The sequence below is a fragment of the Homo sapiens genome, chromosome 14 (assembly GCF_000001405.40).
Source record: "Homo sapiens chromosome 14, GRCh38.p14 Primary Assembly".
NCBI lineage: Eukaryota > Metazoa > Chordata > Mammalia > Primates > Hominidae > Homo > Homo sapiens.
Genome location: NC_000014.9, coordinates 93,230,697 through 93,257,675, shown reverse-complemented (window position 1 = coordinate 93,257,675; position 26,979 = coordinate 93,230,697). Strand labels below are relative to the sequence as shown.

At 43.2% G+C, this 26,979-nt stretch overlaps 1 protein-coding gene and 1 pseudogene across 6 annotated transcripts in view; one reads left to right on the top strand and one right to left on the bottom strand.

Annotated features, from left to right (window-relative positions):
* Positions 1-20,126, top strand: part of BTBD7 (BTB domain containing 7) — a 95,487-nt gene extending 75,361 nt beyond the window's left edge. For all 6 annotated transcript variants that reach the window (NM_001289133.2, NM_001002860.4, XM_011536939.3 and 3 more), the window contains 6 exons: positions 321-481; positions 3,886-4,029; positions 6,024-6,213; positions 9,022-9,200; positions 11,390-11,851; positions 14,588-20,126. In NM_001289133.2, coding sequence (NP_001276062.1) covers positions 321-481; positions 3,886-4,029; positions 6,024-6,213; positions 9,022-9,200; positions 11,390-11,851; positions 14,588-15,403 — 1,952 coding nt within the window. In that variant the 3' untranslated portion in view covers positions 15,404-20,126. The remainder of the gene's footprint in view (positions 1-320; positions 482-3,885; positions 4,030-6,023; positions 6,214-9,021; positions 9,201-11,389; positions 11,852-14,587) is intronic.
* Positions 13,253-13,716, bottom strand: RPL36AP4 (ribosomal protein L36a pseudogene 4; annotated as a pseudogene).

Here is a 26,979-nt window from a genome sequence, read left to right as displayed (position 1 = left end):
AAAAGCCCTTGATAAAACTAGATTTTAGTAGATTGTCATCTTTTCTCTTTTGAGTTAGTCTATAGAAAGGAATCCTTTATTCTTTATTGCAGAGCAGTGATAAAATAATTTTATTGTACTGTTGATACCATGCTTTTTCTTTATCCAAGAACATCCCTATTAAACAAACATGAAAGAAAATAATTGATTTATAACCCTTTTTAAAGCAGAGGCACATAAGTCTATAGAGTGGTACTGTTAGTGTATGTACTAGAGAACAAAGGAAACCTGTCTCAGAACATTTGGATTTGGTTGGAAACTTTTCATTTTCTGTCTCATAGAGCCAAACTTACTGAGTGGCACTGCCCATAGTGTGAACAAAAGAGGTGTAAAAAGACGGGACCTGGACATGGAAGAGCTCAGAGAGATCCTTTCTTCTCTCTTACCTTTTGTGCGAATTGAACACATCTTACCTATAAACAGTGAAGTCTTAAGTGATGCAGTAAGTGTTTTTCTCCATGTATTCCTTTCATGAAAAGAAAAATGCCAGGTGTATGTTTTTATTCATTGTAAATAATTTCTGCTACTAATAGAGTATTGTGAAGCTGTAATTCTGTGAGGACAGAGACAGATGTCTATTGTGTACGATGTTGTATCTCCTGTGTCTTCCACATAATACAGTTAAAATGTTCAGTGAATGAGAGTTGAGTGGGTAAATAGGTCTTACTCATGCAAGAGCATTATTTCTAGCAGAGTTAATTCTGTCATTTAAGTGTAGATCAAGTAGACCCTTATTCAAAAAGGGAAAGGTAGAAATTACCTTTGAAGAGTCTTCAAGAACAGCAGTGAATCAGAGAGTAGTGGAGTGGAGGGATTGGTTGAATAGAAAAAGAATGGATGGACCTGAAAATTAATAGAGCTCATCTTGTTACTTTCATAATTTTTTAAACAGTGAATTTTTTAAAAATTAATATAATTGGCTGGGCGCGGTGGCTCACTCCTGTAATCCCAGCACTTTGGGACGCCAAGGCAGGTGGATCACCTGAGGTCAGGAGTTTGAGACCAGCCTGGCCAACATGGTAGAACCCCATCTCTACTAAACATACAAAAATTAGCCAGGCGTGGTGGTGCATGCCTATAATCCCAGCTACTCGGGAGGCTGAGGCAGGGGAATTGCTTGAACTGGGGAGGTGGAGGTTGCAGTGAGCCGAGATCGAGCCATTGCACTCCAGCCTGGGTGACAGAGCGAGACTCCATCTCAAAAAAAAAAAAATTAATAGAATTGCTTGAATTCATGGATGGGAAAAATAAATATTATAAATATTAGTTCTTCACACATTGACTTATAAACTTAATATAATGCTTATAAACATCATAATATGTTTTTTCTAACTGCACAGGAACATTATAAAACATTATAAAAGTCTTCTGGAAAAAAAACAAAACATAATAATAAACGAACTATCACAAGTCAATGTGGTGCTAGATTAACTGATTAGCAGAAGAAGAAATTTATTGAAAGTTAAACCATCGTTTCACTGGCACACAAAATTAATCCTTGTTAGACTGAAGAATTAAATACTAAATGGAAACATGGAAGAACTAGAAGAAAACAATATTGTTTTCAAGAAGTATTTATGGGCTACTCTGGGCATACTGCCTATGGGGTAGCCCTGCTCCACAAGGAGCAGTAATAAAAATAAATAAAAACAAAACTTAAAAAAAGAAATATTTGTGGATTCTGATTAGAAAAAAAAATTCACCCTCACTAATTACACACACACCAGAGAAAGCAAAATGAAACAGTTACCATTTTTTCACCTGTTAAGGTAGTAGTTATAGTACCACTACACAACAGAATATTTTGCTCCCCTGAACAGTTGTTATAAAGACTGTATAGTGGCCGGGCGTGGTGGCTCACACCTATAATCCCAGCACTTTGGGAGGCCAAGGCAGGTGGATCACCTGAGGTCAGGAGTTCAAGACCAGCCTGGCCGACATGGCAAAACCCTGTCTCTACTAAAAATACAAAAATTAGCCAGGCATGGTGGTGCATGCCGTTAATCCCAGCTGCTCGAGAGGCTGAGGCACAAGAATTGCTTGAACCCAGAGGCAAGTCAAGAATGTGTCACTGCACTCCAGCCTTGGTGACAGAGCAAGACTCTGTATCAAAAAAAAAAGAAGAAAAAAAAAGATTATGCAAAGTATGTATTTTTATGTATTCTTAAATTCAACTATGTAAAACTTCATTTGGTAAAGACTCTGCCAGGCGCTGTAATCCCAGCACTTTCAGAGGCCAAGACAGGCAGATCACTTGAGTTGAGGAGTTCAAGACCAGCCTGGCCAACATGGTGAAACACTGTCTCTACCAAAAAATACAAAAATTAGCCAGGCATGGTGGCATGCACCTGTAGTCCCAGCTACCTGAGAAACTGAGATGGGAGAATTGCTTGAACCCAGGAGGCAGAGGTTGCAGTGAGCCAAGATCTCGCCATTGCCCTCCAGCCTGGGCAACAGAGTGAGACCCTGTCTCAAAAAAGAAGAGAAGGAAAAAGAGAAGACTGGAAGGAAATATATCAACATTACTGTTGTAATGAGTATTGACTTTTTTCTCTATTTTCTAAATACTAGATAATGCTGTATTTTACTAGTTAAAAGTAATTTTAACTAATGAAGCTGTTGATTATATTTAATGAGAGTAATATTGGAGAAACAACTTTTGGTTTTGTTTAAAACCTGGGACTCAAATCAAATTGAACCCTGTATGTAGTTTAGAAAAGTATTTTAGAACTTTGGTTAGGAAATATATACCTCTGCTCTTAACTCCGTGCCTAACACATCGTAAGTCCCCAACAAAGGTTTGCTAACAATGACTCTTAACTTTCATGCTCTCTTAGTATGTGCTAAGCACTGTACTAGGTGCTTTCATCTGCATTGCCCTCATTTAATCCTCACACCACCTTAGGAACTAAAGATACTTGATACAGATTCTCCTGGCATCAGTCAGGAAACAACAGGGATACCTCATTCAGTTAGCTGTGCACTGCCTTGCCTCCAGAGCCATACAGGAGCCCTTAAAGTGAAGCCCAGGTAAAGGAGATGTCCATGGTCACATGGCTGTTAAATGCAGGAGTTGAAGTTTGAGCTACATCTGCCTTGCCCCAGAGCCTGTGTTGCTAGGCACTGTGCTAGCCTTCCTGTATCCTTGTACTGTAGATATAGGCCCATGTCAATGTTCTCGTTTTGTCTTGAGGAGTTGGGTGGGGACTGAATTTGTTCCTAGATGAGTAAAGAAAAAAAATTGGTTTTCATTAAGAGTTCTGATCTTTAGTCCAACTTAACTACATTTTAATTAATGTGTCTCGTTTTTAAAAATATTCCTCTATTTAGAGAAAAATGGGAAATTATGGTATCTTTTTATTGAAAATCTTTTAAATATTATTAAAAATTTGAGGTATTTCACCGGGCACGGTGGCTCACGCCTGTAATCCCAGCACTTTGGGAGGCCGAGGTGGGCAGATCACGAGGTCAGGAGTTCCAGACCAGCCTGACCAACATGGTGAAACCCCGTCTCTACTAAAAGTACAAAAAATTAGCCAGGCGTGGTGGTGAGTGCCTGTAATCCCAGCTACTCGGGAGGCTGAGGCAGGAGAATCGCTTGAATCCAGGAGACGGAGGTTGCAGTGAGCCAAGATCACGCCACTGCACTCCAGCCGGGGCGACAGTGAGACTCTGTCTCAAAAAAAAAAAAATTTGAGGTATTTCTAAATTTCATATACATTTCTAAATTTTTATTTAAATGATAAAGTTTGCATATTTTTATTTATAGTTATAAATATTTTTATTTATCTTAGTAGTATTATAGTACTACACAGATTTCTATCTAAAAAAAAAATTTTTTTTTAGATGAAAAGAGGCTTGATTAGTACTCCTCCATCAGATATGCTTCCTACAACAGAAGGTGGGAAGTCAAATGCCTGGTTACGGCAAAAAAATGCTGGCATCTATGTTCGTCCTCGACTCTTCTCTCCCTATGTGGAAGAAGCAAAGGTAATGAAAACCATTTGAAGATAGTAGACTACTTTATTACAAACCATATGCACAAAGTGGTTCACTGTAGTATTACTTAAATATTTGGAAATAGCCTATATTTTCAACAATAGGGAAAATGAAAGTAAGTTCTAGTTTGACTACTCAACAGAATAGTTTTCTAAAACGTTTAATTTTAATTAAGCATGTTTTTAAAACTTAGGTTATGTTAAAATGCATTTTATATTTTTCTCATTTTAGTTGCCTTGCAAATTGTTAACTGCCTTGCAAATTGTTACCACTTACTGAAAATGGTTGTCACTATTTTGTGATCTTGAGCATGAGGGAAATGTTCTGAAAGAAGATTGCCCACTTTTTTACTTCCTTCCTAAATTAAAGGAATGCCACGACCTCTTGTAACATATTTCTGCAATAGCTGACTGTTGGGAATTATGTTTAGTTTTAGAATAAATGCACAAACTAAGAAAAAATTTCAGGCCTGTTAAGTAACTAGTTCGCATTATGTATATTGTAACATAAAGAACTGTCCCAGAAAATACGGTAATGTGAAAATGAAACATCTAATTTTTATTAGATGTTCAGCCATAAGAACTTTCCGGGGTCCATCCTGGGCAACATGGTAAAACCCCAACTCTACCAAAAACTAAAAGGAAAAATTTAGCCAGTTGTGGTGGCGTGCACCCTGATTTCTGCTACTCAGGAGACTGATTTAGGAGAATCACCTGAGCCTGGGAGGCAAAGGCTGCACAGTGAGCCGTGATTGTGCCACTGCACTCCAACCTGGGCGACAGAGTAAGAACCAGTCTTCAAAAAAAAAACAAAAAACAAAAAAACTTTGGCCTTTTGAGGAACTGACAGTCTTTGAAAGCAGGAAATCCTTATTAAGCTTTCTGAAGTAAATTTAACAGACAAAACAGTGTGTATACTCAATGAGTATACAATCAAGTTGCCTCAAAATGTTTCTCATTTTTAAACCAGGCATGGTGGCTTACACCTGTAATCTCAGCACTTTGGGAGGCTGAAGCAGGAAGATCACTTGAGTCCAGGAGTTCAAGAGCAGCCTGGGCAACCTAGTGAGACCCTGTCTCTACAAAAAATAAAGATAAATTAAAAAAAAAAAAAACTAGCCAGGCGTGGTGGTGTGCTGTTGTAGTCCCAGCTATGCAGGAGGCTTGAAGTAGGAGGGTTGCTTGAGCCTGGGAGGTCAAGACTGCAATGAGCCATGATGGCACCACTGCACTCCAGCCCAGGCAACATTTTTCTTTTTTCTTCAAAAAAGAAAATTTGGTTTATTTCTAAGTCTCTTGAATTGATTATCAATCTTTTTTTTTTTTTTAAGACGGAGTTTCACTCTTGTCATCCAGGCTGGAGTGCCGCAGTGAGATCTCAGCTTACTACAACCTTCTCCTCCCGAGTTCAAGCAGTTCTCGTGCCTCAGCCTCCTGAGTAGCTGGGATGATAGGCACCCGCCACCACATCTGGCTAATTTGTGCATGTTTAGTAGAGATGGGGTTTCACCTTGTTGGCCAGACTGGTCTTGAACTCATGACCTCAGGTGATCTACCCACCTCAGCCTCCCAAAGTGCTGGGATTACAGGCATGAGTCACCACGCCCGGCCCTGATTATCAATCTTCAATATTTTGTATTTTGAGCACTTTGTTGGATTTGTTATTTAGCACATGTATACATTGTTTTATTATAATATTGTGTGTAATTTATTTCTGATTAATTTTATATCCTTCCTTCACATTTCAAATACTTCTAATTAAAAGCAGACTTTTCAAAAGATGGTTGTGTCTTTTCAAAGATGCTCCTAAAAGAGTCTTTAAAAGTTAAAGATGTAGGGGAACTTTCTTTCACCACTAATGTTAACATTTATAAAATAGAAATAAATTAATTCCCTTTTTATTTGATGAAAGTAATAGTCTTCCTTCAAATGTGATTTAACAGAGGAAGGTTGACTGGTTTTGTTAATACTGAATGATTATTTCAGTCAGTGCTAGATGAGATGATGGTGGAACAAACGGATCTTGTGCGCTTGCGAATGGTTAGAATGTCCAATGTGCCAGACACGCTCTACATGGTCAATAATGCCGTGCCACAGTGTTGTCACATGATCAGCCACCAGCAGATCAGCAGCAACCAGTCAAGCCCTCCTTCAGTTGTAGCCAACGAAATTCCAGGTAAGGCAGTATGTTGGGTGTTTATATTTAAATGAATAATTTATTGTTTTTTTGAAATTGCTGATGTTTGAGCCTCTCTGTATATGCTAATTCTCTCCACATTTCAATACTTTTTATGCCTTGTTCTCCTTAAAGAATAAACACTTTTAAGCCAAAACTTTTGCTTTATATTTTATTTTGTATTACTAAGTGTATACAGTTTATCAGTTTACCCTTGAGTTTCTCAGCCTTGGTCTTACTGACATTTGGGGCTGGATTATTCTGTTAATGGAGAGCTGTCCTGTGCTTTGTAGGGTGGTCAGCTGCATTCCTGGCCTGTACTCAATAAATGCTAGGAGCACATATGTGCATGCATGCACACCTCTCTGAAAACCTTTTGGAAACATTTTTATGTTTCTAGACATTGCCAGTTGTGCCCTGTGGGACAAAGTCACCCATTTTGAGAACCACTGGTTTAGAGGAATTCAGATTTTTTTTTATCACTATAGGGTATTTCTCAGGTTACAAGACCCTTTGGGAGGGTCAAATGCACTATCATACCTTAAAGTCTATGGCCTTCCTAGTCTATTATACCTTTGAGTCTGTGGCCTTCCAAAATGTGATCACTGTGGGTTTCCTAGAGATCCAATTTCCCAAGCTCTGCTCTGTGAAGTTTACTGTAGCACAGGTTTATGTCTTACGACTTTAGGGGAATTGGCTATCGATCAGGATATAACTGTCATGTCCAAAAACGTCTGAGCATCAGTAAATGTTGGCTTTAACCAAAGTAGTCTAAAAAAAGCAACAATGATCTGGTGGTCAGAAACTTGTAGCTCTTGCTAATTGCCATTGCAAGATTCAAAATAAAAACCAGCACACTATAGCAATAGAAATAGCACTATTTATTTCTGCTTATAAATGTCTACTGTAATTAAAGATGAATAAAAGACATAGTGACAGAACTTTTAATTGAATACATATATTTTATTCTGGAGCTAATGACTTTCTTCAGTTGTTACCTTATCAAATTTGGCCACTGCATATTTACTTGAAATATACATTAGTTAACAGCATGAAAAGAAATATTTCTTTAGCTGATTTATGCAGATTTTGAAGCTTTGCTAATTAGCCTGGCTTTTTAGGCTTGAGTTAATGCAGTTCAAAATCAGCATAATTTAATCTTAGAACTCAATCTCAGAGGTCTAGACATTCTCAAATAAGTATGCTCAGAAAAATAAGGCTTGTCTCTCTATTGTTTAGCTAATGAGGTATGGTCCTGTTCTGGTATCATCCTGGGTTCTTCTCACTTCCTTGCACACCACATTCATGAAAGGATGGATAGCTTGTTGCAGAGGATTAGGGGGCTCATATCTTGGCTCTGTTACTTTGTATGACTTTGGACATGGTATTAATATTTTCTTTCCTGAACATTAATTTCCTCATCCATGAATTGGGGCTCATACCTCCTTTCAAGAATTAGGAGGATTTAATGAAGCACCATGAGTAATATGCACAGGAGTTTGCCTGGCACAAAGTAAGCACTCAGTAAATGCCAGTTCCTTTTATCCCTAAAAAATAATAATCACTGCTCTAGTCAGTTTCTTTCATAAATATTTATAGACTCCATCCCCTCTCCAGCCCTACAGCTACAGCCCTACTTCAGGTTTCTAACCCGTGTTCCCGCCTCTCATCTTACTCAAAATTCTGTCTTTTACACCAGCTTGTCGGCCGGCATACTTTTTCTAGAAAGGGGCAGATAGTAAATACTTTAGGCTCTGTAGGCCATACAGTCTCTGTTGCTTCTATCTACTTAACTCCCATACAACAGCCGTAGACAGTACGTAAATGAATGGGTACAGTTACATTCCAATAAAACTTTATTTACAAAGGCAGACAGCAAGCTTGATTTAGCCTACCAGTCACAGCATGCCTGCCCATTTTACGTTAACATCAGAATGCACTTGTTCACAGCTCTGATCCTGTCATCCTCCTGCAAAAGTGACTGCCTGTTGTGCACAGGGTACAATTTAAATTCTTTATCCATGATCTGCCAGTAGCCATCTTTCTGCCTCCTCTCTTCACACTCTTCCTGCTTACAGCTCTGAACCCTAAGTTCTGCTGGCCATGCCAACCACTTCTGCCAGGCTGTCTCAGCATGTTTTACACATACCCAGTCCTTCTGCTGAGACAGCTTTTTTTTTTTTTTTTTTTTTTTTTGCCTATCTGGTTTCCTTTCATTCTTCAAGAATCTGCTCTGTGTACACCTTGAAGCCTTTCTTGTCTGTCCCCAGTCTGGCTGGGTGCCCCTTCCAGTCCCTCAGTGTCCTTTGCATATTTCTCTCCAGGAACATTTATGACCCTATATTGTATTTGTTTACTGCTGGTTTAGTTCATATCACTAAGCCAGAAACTTTTGAGAAGAGGAATCGTGTTTCATTCTGTGCACCCTAATATCCAAGTCCAATCCCTGGTGCATAGTCAGGACTCAAAAAATTATTTGAATAATAGAATGAATATATTTAAAGACTTCTGAAATATCCTGAGATTCAGACAAGAATACATGCAAGTAAAATTGTATTTGAACTGTAAACTAAATAATACAACTCGGGCTGTTCAGTATGATCAAGAGCCTTTTGGGCATAGTGAAATTTTAAAACCTTGAAAAATAATTAGAGATATATAAATGAATGTGTTCCCAGGAAATTAAGATACTATCTTAAAAACTTATAAGATTCTGGTATGAAATACATGCTTTTTTCCCTTGGGCTCACGGGGTCGTCTTTTGTGTAGCTCAGGAATTTTGCTTGCCCACTGTTGTTCTCCTTCCAGTTCCTCGTCTCCTCATTATGAAAGACATGGTCAGACGACTGCAGGAACTGCGGCACACGGAGCAGGTGCAGAGGGCCTATGCCCTGAACTGCGGGGAAGGCGCCACTGTCAGCTATGAAATTCAGATTCGAGTGCTAAGAGAGTTTGGTCTTGCAGATGCTGCTGCAGAGCTGTTGCAGGTAGGAAATGACATTAAACTGTTTAAAATAGGGAGCCTCAGTCACCAGACAGGCAGTATTGTGGGCATCCTGACGAGTCCTTGGCTTATTTCCTTTTCGTCGTATGTGCTTTTTCACTGCCTTTGGTGTCTTTGATAACCTGCAAGTCCCTCCTGGTGAGAGGCAGCGTCATGGAGTGGACTGAGCAGAGGCCTAGGATGAGAACTGGGTTTAAGTCCCGGCTCTGCTGCTTACTAGTTGGTTAACTTGGAATGAGTTACTTAACCACCCTGGGCATCAACAGCTCTTTTACCTGTAATATAAATTGTTATGAAGATCCAGAGTGCTATTGTACAGCAGCTATATTTCTGGTATGTAGCAAGCATACAAGTGGGGACTGCTAAAAAAATTCCACAGTGTGCATGCCCAGAGATGGCATGGAAGTAGAAAAGTCTGAACTTCCACTGCTCTCTCTTCCTTGTTTGGTCACTAGGTTTGAGGTTTGGTCTACTTCCTCACTTACACACCTTTCACATGCCCACTTTCGTTTCTGTTTTCCATCTTATAAGAAATTTCTTTCATGAGGGTTCAAACCCAAGCATGAGAATCAAACAGTAAGTGCTTTCTTTTTTAACCTACCAGGAAAAAAGAAAAAACTCATTTCTAGTAATTATTAGATACAAAAGCAATAGCACTGGTTTTGCAATTAAGATAGAATTTGTAAACTAGTCTGATCACAGCCACTAAATCAGAGCCTTAAATAAAATTTAATTTCATCTGGTTAGGTGATTCATTTTCTTGCTACAAACTCCAAACCCCTTTAATCCGTACCCTTTAAAAGGATAGGATGTGGCCGGGCGCAGTGGCTCACGCCTGTAATCCCAACTCTTTGGGATGCCAAGGTGGGCGGATCACTTGAGGTCAGGAGTTCGAGACCAGCCTTGCCAACATGGTGAAACCCTGTCTGTACTAAAAATGCAAACATCAGCCAGGTGTGGTGGCGTGGGCCTGTAGTCCCAGCCTCGGGAGGCTGAGGCAAGAGAATCGCTTGAACCTGGGAGGCCGAGTTTGCTGTGAGCCAAGATTGCACCACTGCACTCCAGCCTGGGTGACAGAGCAAGACTCCGTCTCAAAAACAAACAAACAAACAAACAAACAAACAAACAAAAAAGAATAGGCTGGACACAATGGCTGTAATCCCAGCACTTTGGGAGGCCTAGGCAGGTGAATCACTTGAGCTCAAGAGTTTAAGACTAGCCTGGGCAATATGGCAAAACCCTATCTCTACAAAAAATATAATAAATTACCCAGGCATAGTGGTATGCGCCAGTAGTCCCGGTTCCTCGGGAGGATTAGGTGGGAAGATCACTTGAGCCCAGAAGGTCAGGGCTGCAGTGAGCCATGATTGCACCACTGCACTCCAGCCTGGGTGACAGAATGAGACCCTGTCTCAAAAAAAGAATGAATGAATGAATGAATAAACATGGCATAGGGTTCTTCAGCAAGTCAGCAAACCACTTTTAGGTTCTTTTTCTTCTTTTTCCCCCTGCTGTCCTAATTTTCTACTGAACATTTTTAGGTTCTTGTTTTAGATTGTTGATTTTCATTTTTTGCTACAGTTTTTCTCCTTAAAATATATAGTCTGGTTTTCTACTCATTTCTTTTCCCTTTGCCATTCTAAATTGTGTCTGAATTTGGTACCTTAAATTGCATGACATATTCTTTTATAATGTTTACCAAAATATTGGTCAGACTTAGTCATGTATAATGGGTAATGAATAGTATTTTGTAGTTTTTATTTCAGACAGAGCAGGCATAGATGTCTTGTCAGAAAGTTTCTAGAACATCCTCAGTTGTATTCCTTTCTCCCTTTGGCATTTAATGTTAATCTCTTAGCAAAGACATATTAGAGTTTGGTTTTATTACCAGTTTTTGCATTATCACATAATCTGAGATGAGTGACCTGCTTGAGGAGCATTCGATCAAGCAGCTTTCTTTCATGGCTGTGTCCTAGGCTGCACTCTGTGCCTTTGTACTATAACTAAGGTGATTTTTTTCTTGGGCTTCTGGCCTAGAAAAATATATTATGCTTTTTATTCTTGCTGACTGTGGTTTTCTTAAGTACCTCACTTAATTCTCTCAGCCTATAAATTTCCACTTATGAAATCTGCTAATAAATGTCCTTTTTTTTTTTTTTTAATCTTTTTTAGAATCCTCACAAATTCTTTCCTGATGAACGTTTTGGGGATGAAAGTCCACTCTTGACAATGAGACAGCCTGGGAGATGTCGCGTAAACAGTACACCTCCTGCAGAAACCATGTTTACAGATCTGGACTCTTTTGTGGCCTTCCATCCACCCTTGCCCCCTCCACCACCTCCCTACCACCCCCCAGCTACCCCAATCCATAACCAACTCAAAGCAGGCTGGAAGCAAAGACCTCCCAGTCAGCACCCTTCACGTTCATTTTCTTATCCCTGTAATCATTCGCTGTTCCACTCCAGAACAGCTCCTAAAGCTGGCCCTCCCCCAGTCTACTTGCCGAGTGTGAAAGCTGCACCGCCTGATTGTACCAGCACTGCAGGACTGGGCAGACAGACGGTGGCTGCTGCTGCCGCCACCACCACCTCAACAGCAACAGCAGCAGCAGCAGCAGCATCTGAGAAGCAAGTGGTAAGTCAACACTTCAGTAACTTGCTTCAAATTCGGTTTATGGAGAATTAGAAGCAATTTTCTTGGCCCCAAGAGCCCCACTGGGACTCAGCAGTGCCCAGAAGTATTGCTGACAAGTGGAAGGCATAGACTTGAGGGGTATGGAAAAGAGGGAAAAACGCTAGTGTACTTGAATGAGAAAAGACAGGAGGAGAGAGACCAAGAGGTGTATATGGAGGAGTTGAGTATCTTCTTATCTTTATGTTCATTTGGCAGGATTAGGAAGGAATGGGGTTACTGAGCAACATAAAGGAATATACCAGTTTCATGTTCTGTTCAAGCACAGGTCTACAATTTGTCCCTAACTTCTACTATTCTGTAAAATCCACTGTTCTACCACATGCTTTAATCGGACAAGAAGCAAGAGCTACTTATAGCTAAGTACAGTATACCGTCAGGAATAATGTGGAAAAAACTCCCCATTCAGAAGATGAGCAGAAAATGAGGCCTCAGGGCCTCAGGCATGCCTCTGCCTCTGAAGCTCATCAGCAGAGCCCCCACTTCACTTAGAATCATAGTAGCCAGGGCTAGTAGGTAGTAAATTGATAGAGGATTCTTTGCTTGATTTTGCACTGTATTAGAGATTTTGTATAATATACTTTAAAAAGTTTTTTTTTTTTTTTTGGCCAGGTGCCATGACTCACACCTGTAATCCCAACACTTTAGGAGGCTGAAGTGGGAGGATCACTTGAGCCCAGAAATTCAGACCCAGCCTAGGAAACATAGTGAGACCCTGACTCTACCAAATAAACAAATGAATTAGCTAAGTGTGGTAGCACGTGCCTGTAGTCCCAGCTACTCATGGGGCTAAGGTGGGACAATCACTTGAGCCTGGGAGGTTGTTGAGGCTGCAGTGAGCTGTGATCAAACCACTGCCCTGCAGCCTGGATGACAGAGGGAGACTGTCTCAAAAAAAAAAAAAAAAAAAAAGATTTGTAAGATTTGTAAGTCTTCATACTCAGTCACATGCTATCAGTAGCAAGTTAGAAGAAAAGATTCACCTGTCAGTTCAGGGAAGCTTCATTAAAATATGGCTTATTGGAAGCTTGAGTCCAATTATGATCCTTTCTCAACTTTTCTTTTTAACATAACCTCAAGATTTTATTTATTTATTCATTTATTTCTTTATTTATTTTAGAGACAGAGTCTCACTCTGTTGCCCAGGCTGGAGTGCAGTGGTGCAATCTCGGCTCACTGCAATCTCCGCCTCCCGGGTTCAAGCAATCCTCCTGCCTCAGCCTCCTGAGTAGCTGGGATTACAGGCACGCACCACCACGCCCGGCTAATTTTTGTATTTTTAGTAGAGATGAGTTTTCACCATGTTGGTCAGGCTGGCCTCGAACTCCTACCCTCATGATCCACCCGCCTCAGCCTCCCAAAATGCTGGGATTACAGGCGTGGGCCACTGCGCCCGGCCAACCTCAAGATTTTATTATCTTTACCGTGAAACAAAAGATGATGCTTACAACTGGATCAATTGTCCCTTTCTCTTCTTATCTTCTCTGGGTTCAGCATGCTTGCATCTCTTAATAGCCAGCATCCTCTTAGATCTGCAGTTGAGCTCAGCGCACTCAACCTTCAGCACAGTCTTTGTAGTTTTACCCTTTTTCGGGAAAATCAGCCTAGTCTGCCCACCATAGTCACTCTGCTTCCTGTCATGCTGCTTTCCCTGGGCATACAGAGAATCCTTGCCCTTCCTCTACTGTGTCACTTTGTGGGATTGGTGTGTGCCACACTGTGACAGAAAGTCCGATGGGTTTTAGGAAGGTTCACCATGTTTGCAGGGGCACTGTTAGCACAGAAAGCCTTTCTCGCCTTCTTAGACCTCTCTACCTCCCCTCCCTGCTTCCCCCACCCCAGAATGGCGAAGGTTGGTCATGTTTGATAAACCAGATTCCCATTCTGTTGGGCCAGGCCCTCAGTTCTACAATTACAAAAGTTCTACTACTTTATATTTTAAATAAAACTCCCTTTAAAGGTAATTTATTTGTCTGTTCATTGCAGTCTTGACTATAATAATGAAAAATGGTAAACAACCTAGATGTCCAATAGTAGCAGAATGATTAAGTAATGGTTCATTGATGCAGTAGAACGTCACATAATAATTTAAAATGGTGATCTCAAAGATTTAGTGACAGATTATATAGGTACTAAATTTCATCAGTATATATGCAAAGGAGAAAAGCATAAAAAGAAAGACCTCAAAATGCTAACAGTGGTATCTCTGTTCAAAAGGTTGGAGTGATTTTTTTGCCTTTATAGCTTTCTGTATTTTTATAATTCTTACAAATTCAGCCAGGAGCGGTGGCTCACGCCTGTAATCCCAGCACTTTAGGAGGCCGAGGTGAGCGGATCACGAGGTCAGGAGATCGAGACCATCCTGGCTAACACATTGAAACCCCGTCTCCACTAAAAATACAAAAAATTAGCTGGGCGTGGTGGCGGGCACCTGTAATCCCAGCTAGTCAGGAGGCTGAGGCAGGAGAATCACTTGAACCCGGGAGGCAGAGGTTACAGTAAGCTGAGATCGCACCACTGCACTCCAGCCCGGGCGACAGAGCGAGACTCTGTCTCAAAAAAAAAAACAAAAACAGAATGTGTTAATTTTATAATTGGGAAACAAAATCAGTGAACATCATTTCTACAGAGGATGGGTCCTTTTTTTAACCCTCCCACCATTTTTGTCTCTGTCTGCAGCGAACACAACCTGTGCTGAATGATCTGATGCCAGACATCGCGGTGGGTGTGTCCACACTGTCACTCAAGGACAGGAGGCTTCCAGAGCTTGCTGTAGACACAGAATTAAGCCAGTCAGTTTCTGAAGCAGGACCAGGGCCTCCCCAGCATCTGTCGTGTATTCCACAGAGACATACACACACTTCTCGGAAAAAACACACACTAGAGCAAAAAACAGACACCAGAGAAAATCCACAGGAATATCCGGATTTCTATGACTTCTCAAATGCTGCTTGCAGACCTTCTACTCCTGCTCTCAGCAGACGCACCCCTTCCCCTTCGCAAGGTGGATATTTTGGTCCCGATCTGTACAGCCACAATAAGGCATCACCAAGTGGCTTAAAGTCAGCCTACCTACCTGGTCAGACGTCTCCTAAAAAACAGGAAGAAGCTAGGAGAGAATATCCACTTTCCCCTGACGGGCATCTACACAGACAAAAGAATGAGCCGATACACCTGGATGTCGTTGAGCAACCTCCCCAGCGGTCAGACTTTCCTTTGGCAGCCCCAGAAAATGCTAGTACCGGTCCAGCCCATGTCAGGGGACGAACTGCAGTAGAAACTGACTTGACTTTTGGGCTGACTCCTAACAGACCTTCACTTTCTGCATGTAGCTCTGAAGCTCCCGAAGAGAGATCCGGTAGAAGACTGGCAGACAGTGAGTCCCTGGGCCATGGAGCTCAGAGAAATACAGATTTGGAAAGGGAAGATTCAATAAGCAGAGGAAGGAGGTCACCAAGCAAGCCGGACTTCCTCTACAAAAAGTCTGCCCTCTGAGAGCAACCTCCAAGTCGTCTGTGCCTGAGATGTGAAACATCCCATTTTATGATGTAACCCAACAACTTACAGACCAGTTCATCAATGCCAGCTGATAACTCGGTTTCACATGATTTTGTTCTAGTTTTTGTGTATATATGTGTTTATTAGACATGGCATGCTAAGAAGGTTTTGTTTTTTTTTTTTAATGTTGCATCTGTCTAATTTGTCTTTGAACAATTATGTCGGGAGGCATTTTTAAGAACAAGCAGGCTGGCACTTTTTATTTCTCTTTACAAATGATGGAATTTTTTTGCACTTGTACATTTATTTTCTCTGTATTGATTTTATATCAGTATGTTAAACTTTATTGCCACATTTAAAGGACTGTATTTTCATACTTTTTTGCATTTTACCTTTCATCTACCAATCCATGTGCATTGGATTGCACACTAAGATGTATTTTCTTACGAAATAGTTCTGTGTTTATTTTTTAATTATAGAAATTCCAAAGAACAGCACATCAGAATGCTCCTCTCTTTTCAGTAATTGTTTTAGTTCAGAGATCTTCCCGCTCAGCCTCCATAAATCTAATGTCATTTTTTTTTTAATAAGTCCTAGGAGCTGGGCTTCATTCCTCCAGCGGGAGTCCAGTCAGGGTCCTGAAGTTTGCTGGTTCAGGAAAGAACAGGAAAGAGAAAAGCCTTCTGTGCCCAGGCTAAAGCTGTTACATTTCCACAGTGTGGATGCAGTCAGAATCCCTGCACATTCTGGTCATAAGGATTAGAGTCACCAGATGAGGCTCTAAACAGATCGCATCCCTTGGAATTAGAAAGCAGTGGAGACCGGGCGCAGTGACTCACACCTGTGATCGGCACTTCGGAAGGCCGAGGCGGGCAGATCACTGAAGCTCAGGAGTTCAAGACCAGCCTGGGCAACATGGCGAAACTCCATTTCTATAAAAAATACAAAAAAAAAAAAATCTAGCCAGGCGTGGTGGTGCGTGCCTGTAGTCCCAGCTACTTGGGGGGCTGAGGTGGCAGGATCGCTTGAGCCTGGGAGGTTGAGACTGCAGTGAGCCAAGATTGCACCACTGTGCTCCCACCTGGGCAACAGTGAGACCCTGTCTCAAAAAAAAAAAAAAAGGCAGTGGAAATAGAGAAGTAACTTAAAGGTCACACTGACAGAATTTCTGGTTCTGAGCGTCAACTCTCCAGCTGTGATGGCGGAACTGACTGCTTGCTGCCTTTAATTGTCTTGCTCTCTATGGGAAAAAAACAAAAGGGCTTCAGTCTCATGGATGTTATTTGGTGTTTGTAAAGATACGTTTTCTTTTAAACGATTTTCAAAATATGTCTAAATTTTGGTGTTGTGTAATGCATAATGCTTTCTCACCAACAGAAAAAAGGAAAAAAATTGTTTTCAGTTAAACACTACATGTCCTACTTGAACTCCACTGGGACGCTGGTTTGGCATTTACTAAACCACTGAGCACATGGGGTCTTTCAGGATCCTCTCCCTTGGAAGGGCAATGTGTGAGCTAAGGACTGTTTTTTTTCTTACTCTCCAATGTAAATATATGAGTATTTGAGTTTTTAAATCACTTCAACATTATTTGAGCATTTACTTTGTATTTTTACAAACACATAAACACACAGCCGTAGCACTTAGAAGAAAAGAGGCTTTCTAAGCATTCCTTCCTCTGCAGGATATTTGGGATCCTCTTTTCTATGTATGTATATATATAAAAAACTATGAATCACTCACACTCACTCGAAAACTATGCAGGGCTAGGGAGCGTTTATGAGCTACCGGGTAAATGAATTACATGCACTTTGAAGTAAATAGGTTTTCTATTGGGTGTCAACAACGCTGATTTCTCCCAAAACTATAGTTTCTCTTACGGTCTTTTCCTCCTTTACCCTGTGGATATACACTCAGGAATAATCTGACATTTTAGAAAAGCCGAACAGTAGATAGTCTCCAAGATGGGAAACATGTCGTGTGTCTGCACGCCCCGGCAAACTGCCGCCACTCGTTCTGCTGCCTGACTGGTTAGCTGCTGTGCGGGTGCGCTCGGTGACACTGGTGGTGGTGCACGCTCCCGAGCTCCCAGAGTTAACACTAATCTGCAGGTCGGCTGTGCATCGCATTCGAGGCTCCTTTTTTAAAGAGAAAAGCATAGGCCTCTGTTCTCATTTGTAAGAAGTTTGACTCATAATAGAAGACGGTGTCTTTTGAAGCCCAGTCTCTGTCTGTCTTCAGAAACAAAAGTGAATGCCGTCATGTTCCTTGATGTGTGTTTCTGCCACATATGTATGTTGACATGTTCATGTACTGCGCCGGTACTGCAAGTAAGACTCAACAGACCTAATTTGGATGGGGAGAAAAACTCTCATCCCTGACCCTTCCCCCCCCGCAAATGTTAGACCAGAGCTGTTGATCCCACACATTCATTTTTCTGAAAATTCATGAACTATTCTCTCATATCCCTGAAATATAAAAGTAAGTGGCCACTATTCCTAAGATTATTTAGTTTATAAAGTTTGCTTTTAATCATACAATAGCTTACCTGGCTAAAACTTTGCGTATAAAGGGAAAACTTGCTTTAATCTGTGGGATTGCGGACCGATGCGACTTGCAGAAGGTAAACAGGCGTGGGTTTTGTGTGCGTTAGGTTAGGTGTTAGTGGACTTTTAATGTATCTTGTGAAGTATGGTTACTAGGGTAGGTTCAAGAGCTACATGCCTCTGGCTTTTGAACCCATCTATTAAATCTTTTTTAATGCTGTACTAAGATAAATGTGAAGTCTGAGTAAGGTTGCTCTCAGAAAAAAAAAAAAAGCATATATATATATAAAATAAAATTTAGGCCATGGGAACTGGCATTTTACTTGGTATAGGAATTTAATGAGAACCAAATCACAAAAATACCAGATCTCCTTTTGAGATCGTGGACAATCAGGCCTTTGGACAATCACCGCTTCCAGTGCCCGCTGTGCGTTGAGGTTAGAGACCTACCGTTTACACGCTAGAGCCGAGAGGACGTTCAAGTTTCTTAAAGATGCTGTTGGTCTTTTTTCTTATGTTATTGTTTTAGTTTTGTGATTTTGATGAATAATTGAAGTTCAGAGTCACCCGTGGCTCCTAAGGAAAAAACAGCATCATGAAAGGCAAAAAGTATTTGAAACGTAATTGTTTCAATTTTCCACGCCCGTTCTCACATGCCCCCTTTAGCTTTATTTCTGGGAACATGTCACTAGACCTCAGCTAGCCTGACACCGCAATAACCCGTTAGGCTTTGAGGCTTTTCAGTGAATTCTTGACATTTAAATCTTCTTATAGAATTCTTTATGAAGCCTTAACTAATTCTTGTTTTTGCTTCCTCAGAAACTTTTTATTGCATCTGCCATCCTTCATTGGATTTTTGTTTTGGTTTGTTGTTGCCATTCTAGCAATGAGCTTAGTCCTTGTACATCTGCATTAAGGTGCCGATGCAGAAGGCAAATTGGAAACACGCGCCAGCGGCAGTGGGGCTCAAAGCCGACCTCCATGCATCATTCTCTAGAGTTGAAAGGATTGACATTTCTCAGTAACTACCCGGCAAAATATATATTTTCATAATGTTGAATTTGCCTTTTAGGAAAACAATGTTTCATGAAACACTTGTAAGATACTTATTTTGAAATTAATTATAAGGCATTCATATTTTTAGGACTGAATTCAAAGGGAAATGCTTCTTTGACTTTTTTTCATTGTTCGGTTGACTTTCAGCTTTCTGGAGTGACAAAGCAGCAGTGATGGGTGCTATTCCTGGTTCTGTGGTGGTTTACTTTGTCTACTAAGTGATTTACTTTCAAACCTCATTACAGATAATCTTACTAAAAGACTTAACATGCACACTGCTAAAAGGTGTTTTACTGTTTTCCATTAACGCTGTTGTATGAACAATATTTGGTGACATGTTGTCTTTTTGTCCTGTAGATTGTCATATCTGTTATGTAGTTATCCTTTTGGCAAGTCCTTTGATTTTTTTTTCCTCTAGAAAATCCTCAGACTGTCAATCTTCCATATTTTGAATATTATAATGCTGTGGCCATTTCTATAGAAAGATTACTTGCAAGTGTGTGTCTTGAAAATAACCTCTTGTATTTGTGTGTTTATGTGAGTTCTGTCTAAGAGATCAGATAAGCTCTGGAAGCTTCATCATCTGTACCTACATGTAACTGTATCTGGGTTACATGGGCAGGCGGTACCAAGTCCTGCTCTTCGATGGGGTGGCTGAGAGATAAAGGTTCCTGAACTCTCCTTGCTGTGTATGCACCACATCTGTACTTCAGAGAGGTGGAAAATCATCTACAACACTGCGTTTCTTGTGGTTGTGCTGTTACTGGTATAAAGTCAAGTGCCTTCAATGCTAAAGGCTCAGAAATTTTTCTTAAACTGATTTCATGTCCTATGCAAGTGTTTTCTACAACCTGCATAACCAGTACTTTGTAAAACTTGTTTACGCTTCAATTGTACATAGTGATTTTTAAAGAAATATATAGTATTTTTATTTAGGTACCTCCAAACTTGAATTCGTCTGTGTGAAGCATTGTAAAACGATACATTTCTCTTTTGAGTACCATTACAGTTGTACAGAGGTTTTCACTGCTTCTATTTTTCTACTGTTACTGATAAGCATGTAACACTGACTTTATCCTACATATAGTTGGCATTTCAAATAAATGGCTTGTATAGAATCTGCTGAGTTGGATACAGTCTGTTTTAGCAGTGGAGCATACAGTCTTCAATTATAGAAGTCATTGCACCCCTGGAGGGTAGAATTGGGAGGTTTTCTAGGTTGATTTTCTCTGTTTCTAGGATTTCAATCATTCAGAGGCATTTTATCATCATCATCATCATCGTTTTCTCGGAAATCACACATTTTATTCTGAATCATCAAGTTCATTATTTTCTATTATTTCATTGAGACATTTCTGAGAAATTTTATTTTACAAATTTGAGCGGAAAGTTCCTCTCACAGGGGTCTTCAGGATTGCAGGAAGCTCAGCATGGCACCCACGTGAACCAGGCACCTGGATGTGTCCTGCTCTTCAGGGCCCTTCGAGGGTCAGAGACCTGGCCTAGATTCTGAGCTTTGCCTTTGCTTTCACACCCAGGCTCAGTAATATTTTCAATTTCAAAAGGAAATGAGATCATGGTCTAGAGTCTAGGATTCTGGAAAAAAAAAAAAAAAACGCAAAATGGAAAGTTTTCTAATTTCCATTTTTTAAAATTGCTACAAAAGAGCTCTTATTTTGTTTTTTATTTTTCAGACAATGTCTTGCTCTGTCACCCAGGCTGGAGTGCAGTGGTGTGATCACAGCTCACTACAGCCTCAATTTCCAGGCTCAAATGATCCTCCCACCTCAGCCTCCCGAGTAGCTGGGGCTACAGTCAGTGTTACACCACTATGCCTGGCTCATTTTTAAAATTTTTTGTAGAGACAGAGGAGGGGGTCTCACTACGTTACCTAGGATGGTCTCAAACTCCTGGGCTCAAGTGATGCTCCCACCTCAGCCTCCCTAAATGTTAGGATTATAGGCATGAGCCACTGCAACCAGCGAGCTCTTTAAAATGTTTTTTATCATTTCAGTGCCAAATTCTGTCCTAGCATCTCACTCTTCATGCCTTACTAACAAGTTATTGCTTTATAGTTTGTAACCATCTTAGGTTTAACAGAAGGGTATAAAGATAAAATAAAATCTAAGGTTTCTGTGGGTGAGCTTCTTAAATCTAAACAAGAAAATTGAATAAATCAACATTCATTTCTGTACTTGTGGATTATTCCTGGAAAAATGAACTCGGGCTAGCTTCCCAAGCCACTTTAGGCTTTACCTCTCCTCAATCCATTAGGGAATATTTCTTGAGTCCACTCCTCCCGGAGTCTGGGAATATGGAGCAGCAGACCAAACAGACAGGAACCCCAGTCTCAGAAACTCACCTCTAGCTGGAAATGACTTTTGTCCTAAAAACAAAACAAGGCCAGGTGCGGTGGTTCGAGCCTGTAATCCCAGCACTTTGGGAGGCTGAGGCAGGTGGATCATGAGGTCAGGAGATTGAGACCAACATGGTGAAACCCCATCTCTACTAAAAATAGAAAAATCAGGTGGGCGTGGTGGTGCGTGCCTGTAGTCCCAGCTACTCGGGAGGCTGAGGCAGGAGAATCGCTTGCACCTGGGAGGCGGAGGGTGCAGTGAGCCGAGATCATGCCATTGCACTCCAGCCTGGCAACAGAGTGAGACTCCATCTCAAAACAAACAAAAAATACAGGGCAGTTATCACAGCTAAGGGGAAGACCAGCTTGAAATGGACCAGGAATGAAAACAGGAGGAGAAATGCTGGAAGCAGCACTAACACTAAACAATGTAATCTTTTCTAATCCCTCATTGAGTTAGGAACTCCTTCCTTTGATCCTCTGTGAATTAAGTACTATTATTTGTGCCATTTTACAAAAGAGAAAAGCCCGGAGATACTGAGCACCTTGTCCAAGGTCACACAGCTAGAAAGTTGGCAGAACTTGGGCTCAAACCCAGGTAGCCTGGCTCCAGAACCCCAGTCCTCAGCCGTTGTGTTGTTCTGCGCATCAGGAAGTCCGGTGGTCCGGGCGGGGTGGGGGGGACTCTAATGTGCAACAGGTGGAAGCAGGTTCAAGGATGGCAATCAGTTGTTCATCCAGTCCGTTTTTCCGAACATTGCTAGATGCTGAGACAGCAGAGTCATGAACAAAACAGTCACAGTCCCACTCAAAAACTGTTTGAGTTTCCAAGAAGAAAAGACATTGAAGAACTACACAGGTAAGGCTCGATGTCTAACTGGTCCCAGGGGTGGGAAGGCTTTGTGTGGGAGTGACCTTGAAGGTGCAGGTGAAGGAAGAGACGAGCAACAGGGTGAGGAGTGGGGAGGGAGGGCTCCATGGAGAGACCAAGCCTGGACAGAGCTCAGGGGAGTGAGAGGGGGTGTGGGACCCTCCTAGGGCAGGGTGAGGCTTCTGAAGTTGGCTATAATGGCAACTCAAAAGCTACTAGGGCTGGGGTGGTTCACCAGATTTGCATGTTCCAAATCACTCTGGCTATTGCATGGGAAGTGGTTGAAAAGAAGCAGGAGTAGATTGAGAGGTCCAGACGGGAGGCTGCCGTAGCCGTCCAGGGGAGAGCTGCAAGCAGCCAACAAAGAGAACAGATTCGGAATCTGCTGACGGTGCCGTGTCTGCGTGACTAGGTGCTTGCTCAGTGTGGGAAAGGAGGGGGAGCCAGCTCTGGGGGGAAGATGGCGTTAGTGTTGGTCATGTTGACGCGGGAATGATTGCCAGGCAGCCAACTACTAGGTGGCAACTAGGTGTCAGCTGGGAGTCAGAGGAAAGGATTCTAGCTGGAGGCTGTGTGGGGGTTGTCCACATATATGGGTGGCACTTACAGCCTTAGGAGTAGATGGTGTGATTAGGGGAAAGGTTTAAAGGAAGATGAAAGAGGGCCTGGATGATGAACTTGGGGGACTCCAACCTTTCCAAGCCAGCTGGAGGGAGTTGCTGGCCAAGGGCAGCCTAGCAGACAGAAAGAAAACCAGCAGTGTGCTGCACAGAAGACCAGGCTGGGACAACTTGAGAAAAGAGGGAATGTGATCTTTAGAATAAATGAAGTGAAAGAAGCAGTATACAAAATAATGCATCCATATGCTCCCACTTGGAGAGAAGACAAAAAAAAAAAAGGAATGAATGCAAATACATACATAAACATTTCTGCAGCCAGGCGCGGTGGCTCACGCCTGTAATCCCTGCACTTTGGGAGGCCAAGGCAGGTGGATCATTTGAGGTCAGGAGTTCGAGACCAGCCTGGCCAACATGGTGAAAACCCATCTCTACTAAAAATACAAAAATTAGCCTGGTGTGGTGGCAGGGGCCTGTGATCCCAGCTACTCTGGAGGCTGAGGCACGAGAATCGCATGAACCCAGGAGGCAGAGATTGCAGTGAGCCGAGATTGCACCGAGCCAAGATTGCACCACTGCACTCCAGCCTGGGTAATAGAGACAGACTCAGTCTCAAAAAAAAAAAAAAAAAAAAAAATCTGCAAGAATGTGCACAGGACTCCCTCTGGAGAGGGTCATTGACAATACATGCAACTGCCAATTAATGGCATCCTTTTTGTTCTGGTTGAGTGTTTAAATGATATGCAGGTATTACTTTTTCAAGTTAATTAAAGGTAAGAGATTAAGGCTCAATTTCACTGCTATCCAAAAGTTAACCCTGTGGCTGCTGTTCCGAGGTTTTGGAAGATCAGGCCCCTAAGGCGGGTTGGGTCAGCCTCAAGGTGAAGGTGTTTGGAAGAGCAGTTTGGCGGCAGCTGGAGAGAGAAGCCAGGTGGGGCAGATGCGAGTCTGAGTGGGAGGTGAGAAGGTGGAGATGATCTGTGTAGACAGCCTTTTTGAGTAGCTTAGTGGTGGAGAGGAGGGAAACTGAAGGCGTTTGAGGAGTGAGGAGACCCGACCGAGCTGTCCCTGGAAGCTGGATGGGGTCATCATTACTGTCATCTTGTGGGCCAGTCATGAGAGACCTTGTCACATACATAGGCTTCCCTCGTCCCCTGGGAAGCTGGTTGACTTATCAACAGGAGAAGGAAGTCGGCTCTGCATCATTTGTTCTTTTTTTTTTTTTTTATACTTTAAGTTCTGGGTTACATGTGCAGAACGTATAGGTTTGTTACATAGGTATACACGTGCCATGGTGGTTTGCTGCACCCATCAACCCGTCACCTACATTAGGTATTTCTCCTAATGCTGTCCTTCCCCTAACCCCCGACCCTCTGACAGGCCCCGGTGTGTGATGTTCCCCTTCCTGTGTCCATGTGTTCTCATTGTTCACCTCCCACTTATAAGTGAGAACATGCGGTGTTTGGTTTTCTGTTCCTGTGTAAGTTTGCTGAGAATGATGGTTTCCAGCTTCATCCATGTCCCTGCAACGAACATGAACTCATCCTTTTTATGGCTGCATAGTATTCCATGGTGTACATGTGCCACATTTTCTCTATCCAGTCTACTGTTGATGGGCATTTGGGTCGCACCATTTGTTCTTAAGGACTCCTCACTTCCTATTTTCAGCTCCTCTCTCCTGGGGTTCAGAAATCATTCCACAGTAGCTGCTAGTTTGTTTTAGAAGCCTCTAGGGGACACCTGTCAGGTCACCAGTCCATAGTTTCCAGAATCTACCATCCCCCACCTAAAAGTACAAAAGCAAATGAATTGAGATATATGGTCGTTTCTGGCGTTGGGGCCCGTGTCTCTCTCTCGGTCGTCGGTCGTCCTGCATAGATTGCCTGCGGTGTGCTGTGAATAGTTTCCAGGCCACGTCCTCAGGGCCTCCCGGCTCCTTCCGCCCGTGCTCGCCTGCTTTTGCTCTGCGTGTTCAAGGCTGTCCTCTCACAGAAAGTGTGGAAGCCAGTCATGTGTTTCCACGCTCCCTGTGGTCAGCTAACTGTCCTTGCTCCACAGCTGGCTTTATACATGGCACTCACGGTCTTGGGGTTTCTCACGGGCGTCACCCCAGTCTGGAGTTTAGCTCCATGGCCCACCCAACAGGTCCATCTGTTCTGTCTCCAAGCCTCTTGGCCATGGACCCTTTTTTATTCTGTCTCTGAAACCCAGAGCTCACCAGTTCCGTACAACCACGTCCATTTCCTCCCAGTGCCAGCCCGGTGCCTTTCCCCCGGCCTGGGACTAAGCTGTGTCCCTCGGAGAGCTCGCCGCTGCTTTGAGCCTCATCTAGCAGAGCCTTGGATTCTGGGCTGTCATGCCTTGTCTCCAAGCTTTGGGGAGTGTTCCTGTGCCCGCTGCTGGCCTGTCGGGGGGTCTTCAGAGAGGGTGAGGAGGCGGAGCCAGGAAAGCCTGCCTGGGAGGAGGGAGGAAGGCACGGACTGGGGGATCCTCGGGGCGCCTGCAGGGCAGGGCCAGGGCAGGGCCAGGGCTGGGCCTGCCTCTGCCACTTCCTGGCTGTGGAAGCTGGGGCAAAGCGCCTAACTGAGTCTCCTCATCCTTAAGCTGGAGATGATGCGAGTGCGCTTCTTGAGCGCTGGTCGCGAAATTTCCATGTCTGACTCGCGATCCTCAAGTCACCGTGTGCAATAGTTCTCATCCTCAGGCTCAGGTGAAGAAACTCCTCCTCAATACCCACCTTGGAGGGCTGCTGCGGGGTCCTGTGGGCACCTGTTGACGCCTGTACTCTCCTGGAATTCCTTACCCTTCATTTAGCTAGCTCCACAAATATCCTCCATCTCTGGAATCTTCTGGTACAGCCGTTGCCAACCCTTTTGGCACCAGGGACCGGTTTCATGAAAGACAATTTTTCCACGGACAGGGGTCGGGGGGGTGGTTTCGGGATGATTCAAGCGCATTACTTTTAGCATTGGATTCTCATAAGGAGCACGCAACCTAGATCCCTCGCATGCGCAGTTCTCAATAGAGTTCTCCTGTGAGAATCTAATTCTGCCGCGGATCTAGCAGGAGGCGGAGCTCAGGCGATAACTCTCGCCGCGCACCTACTGCTGTGTGGCGCCGATCCTAACGGGCCATGGACGGTACCGTGGGCCCCCTGTTCTAGCAGATGCACCATAAATGCCTCCCTGCCCTCTGAGACTGAACTAAAAGCAATTGTTCTTCCCATCTCTCCATGTTCCAACGGAGCCACTGAAATCCCTGGGGAGTCCCTGGGAAGTCCAGCTGTAAGTGATCCCGAGAGAACTCAGTGCCCCCAGCATCCCACCATTCCCGGGGCTGATGGGACTGGGCTCTTTGCAGAGTTGCAGTCAGGTGACCCTGTGCCTGCCAATCCCGCTCTCCCGAGTCATTCGCCAGCCTTCTTCCTACAGAAGTCCCCTGATCGCACCCACGGTTGTTTCTCCAGCCTGCTCAGGGTGTCCTCCCTGCCCCCCAGTGCCAGCGTCCTTGTGCTCCTACCCCTCCCCTCCTGCCTCCTGTCCTGGCTGCCCTCCTAGCTCCTCCTCGCCCACTTAGCCCTCTCCCAGGACGTGGGCTCCTTCTCGCTCTTTCCACGGACTCTGTGTCAGGAAGGGCGGCGGGTGACGTCTCTAACACCCCAGCACCTCTCCAGCCCCCACGGCCCAGTGTCCCGCTCCCACCTTTGCAGCTGCCACCCCCAGTCACTCCTTTCGTATCCTGAAGGCTTTGGCTCCAACCTAACATCCTCTCCCTCCAATCCCTGGTGTCATCCTGGTAGCTGCCTAGACCGTCTCCAGCTACCTGTCCATGGCACAGCTCTCCCCTGTCCCCAGAATATCTCCATCTTTGAAATGCTAACCTCACTGCCCGCTCTCAGGCCGGATCGCCTCCTGTCCAGAGCCTCTCCCTGGTCCTCCTCTGGAACTCTGGCCTCCTTGCTCCCCTGCCAGGATGGCCCAGCTTCCATAGGTGGCAGCCGTCTCACCATGCCCAGCTGCGACCCATCCTCCCCGCCCAACTCAACCCATAAACAGTGTGTCCATCTTCAGCTTTGGGAGACTGAAGACAGCCACGCCCCCGTGGTACCTGTGGTCCCCAGCCTCCCG